Here is a 9070-nt window from a genome sequence, read left to right as displayed (position 1 = left end):
GCGCGGACCCACAGACCACCCCCAGCTCCGCCCCGCGAGGCCCCGCCTCTTCATGCAACCTAAAAGTAACCAACTCCCCCCACGCGAAGGTTCCTATCGGTCGACGGGCTGTGGGTGTATTGCTCAGTGACGGCTTCGTTTAGTTTCTCCCAGCACCCATAATTCAAAGCAAGAACAACGACATTATGGGGAGAAAACGTCCTTTTGTGAAACAGAAGGCAGTAAGTACAGCTCGTAGGCAGCCCACACTCACCTGACCTTCCTGTTACCACTTTATACTGAGATGAGAGTAATGAAAGCCCGGACAACACTGAAGCTATGAAGTAAAAAAGAAAAAGCTACTCCATCTTTCCCTGTCTAGCTAGATGTGGGAAGCAAAGTGAATTTACTTCATTTTTACCATTCTAATTTTCTTTTGTTTTTGAGATGGGGTCTAACTGTCGCCCACGTTGGAGTGTAGTGGCGCGATCACGACTTACTGCAGCCTCGACCTCCCGGGTTCAAGCGGTCCTCCCACCTCAGCCTCCCAAAGTGCTGGGATTACAGATGTGAACCACCACGCCTGGCTTAATGAAGGGGTTTTAAATTTTTGCTATTAAAATTATTCCTGTTGAGCGAGCCGAGATCTCGCCACTGCACTCCAGCCTGGGCGATAGAGCGAGACCTTGTCTCAAAAAAATAAATAAATAAATAAATATTCTGAGTGAAATAATTGGCATTAAAAAGTCCTCAACTTTTAAAAATCCTGTTAACAAAAAAGATGCAGTAGGCCTCTAGGTCAGGCACCAGCTGTCGGTAAAAGACGGAATAGAGCTGAGGATACAAAGATTAGTCTACTTAAAAAGTTAGGCTTTAGTCCCCTCTCCTGATAGCTCTATGCCTCTCATTGCAAGGATGACAATGTACAGGGCACAGAAAATGATAGATAATAATAGTTTAAAGCTGAGCCACCACCTTTAATCAGAGATCAAAGCCATTTAAATACTTGAACAGAGTTGAAGCCCTTAAGGCTGGATCCCAATTCCCTCTGAACTCATTTTAAATCCTAATTAACTCTTGGGGTAGGGGATTATTTGACCTTATTAAAAATAACTTTATCATGACACAAACGAAAACAAAACACATTTTGTGAGTGGTTTGAAAGTCTATCAAGTGACTTTAGAATCATCCTGAACTCTTTTTCTCTCTTATCCTAGATCCACACCATTAGTAAACCCCATCAATTTTGCCTTCAGAATATATCCAGATTCTTCCCAATTCTACCGCCACCATTCTGGTTCAAGCTACCTGGTGAGTTTGCACCTGGAATACTACAATACCTTCCTCTCTGGTCTCCCTGCTTCTACTCTTGCCTCTCATGTACATGTTATCTCAGTGCAGCAACTACAGCAATCCTAAATAAGGCAGATCATACCATTTATTCTCAGAAACCTTCACTGGCTCCTTACCTCAAAGTAAAAGCCCAGGTCATTAGAAAAACCTCAGTAAGTTCATTTCCTATTACTCTCCTAGCTCATCCTGTCAGCCATACTAGTCTTCTTGCTTTTCCTTGAATATACTAAGCTCCTGTCTGGACCTTAACCTCCTCCACCTGGAACTCTCTTCCCGATATGTATTTTCATCCTCATTCCCTCACCTTCTTCAGGTCTTTGCTCAAGTTTACCTATCAGTGAGATCTTTTCTGACAACCCTATTAAAAATAGCAAGCCTCCCCCCAACTCCCTGTCCCTGCACTATTTATTCCCTTCCCTTCTTTATTTTCCGTCGTTACACGTATCACCATCAGATATGCAGTTTTATTGCCTTGCTTACTAACATTGTACAATCCCCTCCTCTCCACCAATATGTGCTCCACAGAGGGGTAAGGGCTTTGTTTTGCTTACTGGTATATTCCAAGTGCTTAGAACAGTTGCTGGCACATGGTGGGTACTCAATATTTTGTGATTGAATGAATTAATGAGTGAATGATGTAATGAAAAGATAAGCATCTTTGTCAATGTTAGAAACATTTACTTCTGACGATAATCCATATAGCTTTCTCTGATGTTACACAGCGATTACATCTCCTTGTGTCTAAATTAAAGTCAAAGTATGAATTTTAAGATGATTTTTAATTATTTAACAAGTAGAAATACGATCAGTGACAATTATCAATTAAAACATTAAACAACCCAGTTACCTTTTCTTAACAGTCATGATGAAATATCCCTTTCCTGTCTTATCAGAAGCCTTAATTATTCTCTACCACACACACCACAAAAGCTTCTTAATAGAGCATCAGTGTCCATCACACCTTTGTGTAGAATCTCTGGCAACAAGGTGCTGTCTCCTCTTGCCCTGCCCCCACATCTGCTTAACTACTCTTCTTTCTGGAATGCCTCTTTTGCTCCCATTTTGTGAGCTCCTGCAGATGTGTTTAAGGTCCAGCTCAGTGACTACCTCCTAGAGCCTTGCTTGACCACTTAAACATACAAACTAAAAGCACAATGTGGTCATTTCGGAAAGATGATTGATAAATTCTCAAGCCACAATGTCTAGTTTTTAAAAAATGCAAGCAGGGAGGAACAGAAGTGACATATCAAGAAATTAAAAACACAAATTATAGATTGAAAAGACTATAGTAATAAAAAAATTCAATTTCACACTAAAATATTTAGTGTTACAGAGAAGGAACCAAATTCTAGCCTTTATATTTTGTCTTAAATATAAAGAAAAGCTTTATATTTATAGAAATGTTTTTAAGTTTGGTAAATAATTACTACTAAAAATTTTTAGAGATAAGACATTTCTGGTTAAATAACATGAAGCATATACACAAAGATAATATGACAAGCCCTTCTTAGTCTTCTACTTATGTCGTATTTTTTATTACTCACAATGGGGCCTCAATATTTAAGAATTAAATATGTAATACCAAATGAAGGAAACTGACAATTCAGTGAATAACTAAACTGAAAACACTTCACATGAAATAAAAATTTAAAGAGTTAAGGAAGATTATTCCTGAGTAGGCTTTCAACATTATTTCTTGAAGAATATTATGTTTACACCAATATATAAAAAAGGACTGTTATGAAAAATAATTTTATGCAAATATTCTGACACCATTCCCTTTAACCAGGAGACCATACAAGTCACATAAAAGTCTAAGCAGGTAAAAGGAATGGAAATTGTTTCATTTAAATTATTTCTTAAAAATTAAGGTGTATTTTTTATTTTAGCAATGTGCTGCTCTAATTAAAGCAATAATTTACATATGCATGGCACCCACAAAGAACATTGCTGATAAAATTTTAAATGTTTCCATGATCAGTTTCCATTACCCTCTTCTAATAAACATAAACAAAGATCTCAAAGGTATTATATAATAGTGCCACATGAGAAGTAGAATTTATGGAAAACTTGACCTATGTCACCTTTTTTATATTCATTTTCACTGCTAAAAAAATAAACTAGCATCATTTGTACAGTACAAATAAAATTAAAGAACTAATGCTATTTGGGAAACAACTGTCAAGAGCTTTCCTTTTTTTTAATCCTTTAAATCTAAATATATAAATTCAAAGTTAACTGGGAAACTGTTACACCTATATTAGAATACATAATTTATATTTGCATGAACATGTATTCTATTTCTTCTGTACATGTTTGCACATTAGCACAAAAATACAAAACAAAGATCAGATTTTGAACATATGAAAGCAAAAACATGTTTTCAAATACATTTGTAATAGTGGATTTCTGGTCTCCTTTAGAAAACAAACTCAAGAATTCGTTATCTCAGTCTCTTCAAGGCCACTTGATGTTGTGTGGTAATATCTTTAATTACATTTCCTCAAGACTTCTTCTAATAGCTTCTTCTAATTCCACATCTGCATTAAAAAACATAGAATTTTAACACTTAGGGCAGAAAACTCAACATGTGCTGTATTTATTTAAGTTTCATCGACTGTATTCTTTTCAAGAAGGAAAGTAAAATCAAAATGGAAAAACACAGGATAACTTGGCAGTTTCTCTACTAAAAAATTGAGTATTTTGAAATATGAAAATCTAGACATGATCTTGAATTGAATTTTATATATGAACTTAGAACTTGCAAGTTAATTCCACTTAGGAATGTAGAAAGTCAACAAACTTTTAAAATCACTGACAGGTAATCATTTGTTTCAACATTTAAAAAAAAATCTGTATCACTTATTTGCTAAAAGACTTGAGGTGATACATATAAGACTTTAAACAGAAAGGCAACTCCATGAAATGACAAAATGTCACAGGCCATTAAAAATTTAGTTTAATTTTTAATTATACCTCAATAAAGCTGGGGAAAAATTAGCTTAAAGCATCCTAGCATCTAAGGTAGTGAAACTCATAGCCACATAAATGTCATCTGAGAAGCATATAATATATGCTGTATGCAGATGTATGTAAACTCATTTGACAAATATTTATTGAATGCCCATTATATACCAGGAACAGCAATGTAATAGTGAACAAGACAGACGTTATTGGGTTCACAATAGTTGAGTTCCATCTCCTCCTTGGGAATGATGCTAAAATCCAGGAGGGTGAAATTTGGTGTCAATTTCTTGGCCTTCACTAGCTTCTCACACCAGATTTATCTCATCCCATCTGGTCCACAGTCTCTCAGAGGCTACTTGGCTACAGGCACCAGTGATCTCCCTAAGATGCAACCGCATGTTCCTCTGATTGGGGGCACTAGTGTTATGTTGTCTAATTTAAAGTACAATAAACTAGCATGAACTGTGTATCAAGTTAAAGCTACACTCTAGGATCAGTTAGTTGCCCTTAAGATGAATTAAAAGGGATGAGGAAATGCAAAGAAAAGCCAAGACACTCTTACCAAAGAAAAACAAGGGGACAAGACTTGTCTAAGATATGAACACTTATTATAAAGTTACAGTAACTAATAATGTGCTACTAGTGCAAGAATAAATAGACCAAAGGAACAGCATAGACAGCTCAGAAACAGACCCATGCATATATGGACACTGGATTTATAACAAAGGTAGCACTGCAGAATGACAGGGAAAGGTCTTTTTAACAAATGATAGTAGGTTATATGTATATATGTGTGTGTGTGTGTGTGTGTGTATATATATACGAAATCACAACGTCTGTTTTACAATTAAAGTTATAAAAATCTTTGAACTAAAATTCAAAATTTGAAGTATGGTTTATACTAAATGCATATTGCTTTCACATCCTTATAAAGTAAAAAAATCATAAATCAAACCATCATTAAGTACAGCAACATCTATACAAAGATATCATACCTCCAGTGAGCTTATAGGGATTAAACTTGCCAGCTGAAAGACTATAAAAAACAAAAAGCAAGTATGGTCATGTGCTGCGTATCAACTTTTGGTAAACAGTGGATCACATATACAACAGTGGTCCCATAAGATTATAATAGACCTGAAAAATTCCTATTGCCTAATTATGTCATAGCCATCTTCATGTTGCAGTGCAACATATTACTCATGTGTTTGTGGTGATGCTGCTGTAAACAAATACACTATGTTGCCAGTTGTATAAAAGTACAGCACATACAATTATGTACAGTACATAACACTTGAAAATTATAATAAACTCTGGTACTGGTTTATGTATTTACTATACTTTTTATTATTATTTTAGAGGGTACTGCTACTTATAAAAGTGATATTGATGATCCTGACTCTGTGCAGGTCTAAGCTAATATATATGTGTTTGTGTCTTAGTTTTTAACAAAAAAGTTTTAAAAGTAATAAAACAATTTAAAAGTAGGGAAAAGCTTATAGAATAAGGATATAAAGAAAATATTTCTCTATAGCTGTACAAAGTGTTTGTGTTTTAAGTGTTATTACAATAGAGACAAAAAGTTAAAAATTTTAAAGTTTATACAAGTTACAGTAAGCTAAGGTGAACTGATTACTGAAGAAAAAAAAATTTTTTTAAATGTAGTATAGGCCAGGCACAGTGGCTCATGTCTTAATCCGAGTACTTTGGAAGGCCAAGGTGGGCGGATCACCTGAGGTCAGTAGTTCGAGACCAGCCTGGCCAACATGGAGAAACCCCATCTCTACCAAAAATACAAAAATTAGGCGGGCGTGGTGGCACATGCCTATAATCCCAGCTACTTGGGAGGCTGAGGTGGGAGAATCGCTTAAACCTGGGAGGCGGAGGTTGCAGTGAGCCAAGATCACACAACTGCACTCCAGCCTGGGCAACAGAGGAAGACTCCGTCTCAAAAAAAAAAAAAGTAGTATAGCCTAATCGTACAGTGTTTATAAAATCTACAGTAGAGTACAGTAACATCCTAGACCTTCACATTCACTCACCACTCACTCACTGACTCACCCAGAGCAACTTCCCCATCCTGCAAGCTCCATTCAGGGTAAGTACCTTATACAGGTATACCATTTTTTATGTATTTTTATGTCTCTATGTTTAGATACAAAAATATTTACCATTATGTTACAATGTCTACAGTATTCAGCACAATAACATGCTATACAGGTTTGTAGACTAGGAGCAACAGGCTACATGATATAGCATGGGTGACAAAGACTTTAAGCCAACTGTCTTATGTATGTTCAAAGAACTAAAGGAAACCAGGAAAAAAATGTATGAACAAAATTAAGAGTACCAATAATGAGGCAGAATTATTAAAAGCCCATCAAATAGAAACTCAGGAACTGAAAAGTACAATAACTAAAATGAAAAATCTTTAGAGGGGCTTAATGAATTTGAGTACAAAGAAGAGTCAGCAAATTTAAAGATAGTATAATTTAAATTATCCAGTGTGTGTCTTGGTTTGAGTTCAGTCTAAATCAATCAATCAATCAATCAATCATCCAGTATGAGGAACAGAAAGAAAAATGAAGAAAAGTAAACAGAGTCCAAGGGACCTGTGGGACATCATCAAGTGAACTAACATATGCATTACAGGAGTCTCAAGAGGGGAAGTGCAATAGGATCAGAAAGAATGTTTGAAGAAATAATGGTTGAAAAACTCCCAAATTTGATGAAAGAGGTGAATCTACATATCCAAGAAGCTCAATGAACTCTAAAGAGACCCACACTGAGACGTGTTATAGTCAAACTGTCAAAAGCCAAAGACAATGAAAACAACAAGAGAGAAACAACTCATCACATACAAGAGAGCCTTAATAAAATTACTAGCTGATTTCTTATAAAAAACCATGGAGACCAGAAAATAAGAATGTCGATCAAGAATTCTATATCTGACAAAACTATTCCTAAAGAAATTCTCAGATAAACAAAAGCTACAGAATTTACTAGTAGACCTGCCCTACAAGAAATGCTAAAGAGAATCTCTCAGATTGAAATTAAAGGACATCAGACAGTAACTTGAAGCCATATGAAAAAATAAAGAGCAATTGTGAAAAATCTGTCTTTGTTTTTCTATTCTGTGGCTAGCTCTGTGTTCCCCTTACCATTCTTTCTGCCTTAATTTCATTTACTTTGAGAGCAGTAATTATGGCAAACAAACAACAAAAACAACCAGTAGTAGGAGGTAGAAGACATATAGAAATGGTTCCCAATCATTTTAAAACTGTGGATGTAAGGCCAAATTACTTAATGTTTAGAAGCCTCAGTTTTCATATAAAATGAAGAGAATAGTCTGACTCTCACAAGTTGTTAAGATTAAGAGCAGTTTTGACTGCTATTAATTGAAGGAATTCTCAGAATAAGGCATATTGCTAACATTTACAGAAAGATGGTTTTGCAAAGAAAATTATCTATATAATGCTGTCCTCTGTCTCTTCCAGCAATTTGAGTCAGAATACCTCTAGTTAACAGACATACCTCTAGAGTAGACCTTAGATGAACATATAAGTAAATAATGGCATAATGATCATCATAATCCCAGTAACATTAGCAGCAACCAATATATACTATTTATCATATGTCATGTTATTCTAGTAAGGTAGGTATACTAATATTCCCATATTTAAGAGGAGGAAGCTGAAGCACAGTGAAGTTAAGTGACTTGTCCAATATTACACAACTTGTAAGCAGCAGAGTTTTAACTTAGGCAGTATGAATCCAAAGACTGTACTTTTCACCACCACATTATGCGGCATCTGTTTCCTCTGTCAAGTACAAGGAACTAGATTATATGGGATTGTTATGACTGGCCTGCGTGGTCAGAGTTTGATATTGGTCTATGAGGAACAACAAAGAATAACACAAATCATGGAAGGAGGGAATTACCCTAAGGCAAAAAGCCATAAGCAGATTTATCCTGTCTTCTGCCACTATTTCTCAGGCATTTACAGAGTTGTACTGGGAAAGGAAGGAATAAAAAGACACTTAAGAGGTTGCTTAAAATTTTTTTTGAGTTTTGTTATCAGGTCTAGACTAGAACATTATTTTGCTTCTGTGGTTCAGGGTCAACAAAATAACCCAATATTCTATAACAAAATAGCCTCTATCTTAATTTCCCTTATCCAGTTATAGGGAAATGGGTCCTGGTGGCTCTAACATGTTTTAAGTTTGTTAAAAGTTTATTCATTTAGGCCGGGCGCGGTGGCTCACGCCTGTAATCCCAGCACTTTGGGAGGCCGAGGCAGGCGGATCACGAGGTCAGGAGATCGAGACCATCCTGGCTAACACGGTGAAACCCCGTCTCTACTAAAAATACAAAAAATTAGCCGGGCGTGGTGGCGGGCGCCTGTAGTCCCAGCTACTCGGGAGGCTGAGGCAGGAGAATGGCGTGAACCCGGGAGGCGGAGCTTGCAGTGAGCTGAGATCGCGCCACTGCACTCCAGCCTGGGCGACAGAGCGAGACTCCGTCTCAAAAAAAAAAAAAAAAAAAAAAAAAAAAAAAAGTTTATTCATTTAACAAGCAACCATTTTGTGCCAAACACTGTGCTAGGTGCTGCTGAAGTAAAGATAAATAAAACATGATCCTACTCCCTAAGGAGCTTACAGTCAGCAGAGATGAAAGTTATAGACAGAAGTATTTTAAATCCACTTGGCCTGGTACAGAGGGAGCCCAGAATAGAGAGTGGTTGGCTGTGTCTAAAGATGGACAATCTAG

The 9070-nt window shown here is 36.3% G+C and overlaps 1 protein-coding gene and 1 long non-coding RNA gene across 6 annotated transcripts in view; one reads left to right on the top strand and one right to left on the bottom strand.

Annotated features, from left to right (window-relative positions):
- Positions 82-9070, top strand: part of ZNF451-AS1 (ZNF451 regulatory antisense RNA 1) — a 57303-nt gene continuing 48314 nt past the window's right edge. Inside the window, exons 1-2 of the long non-coding RNA NR_110742.1 lie at positions 82-221; positions 1197-1290. This is a non-coding gene — a long non-coding RNA (ZNF451 regulatory antisense RNA 1). The remainder of the gene's footprint in view (positions 222-1196; positions 1291-9070) is intronic.
- Positions 1990-9070, bottom strand: part of ZNF451 (zinc finger protein 451) — an 80118-nt gene continuing 73037 nt past the window's right edge. For all 5 annotated transcript variants that reach the window (NM_001031623.3, NM_015555.3, XM_011514460.3 and 2 more), the window contains one exon: positions 1990-3872. In NM_001031623.3, the coding sequence (NP_001026794.1) occupies positions 3826-3872 (47 nt within the window). In that variant the 3' untranslated portion in view covers positions 1990-3825. The remainder of the gene's footprint in view (positions 3873-9070) is intronic.

This window comes from Homo sapiens, chromosome 6 (genome assembly GCF_000001405.40).
Source record: "Homo sapiens chromosome 6, GRCh38.p14 Primary Assembly".
Classification (NCBI taxonomy): domain Eukaryota; kingdom Metazoa; phylum Chordata; class Mammalia; order Primates; family Hominidae; genus Homo; species Homo sapiens.
The sequence above is the reverse complement of the archived record's forward strand: the minus strand, read 5'-3'. Positions and strand labels throughout refer to the sequence as shown.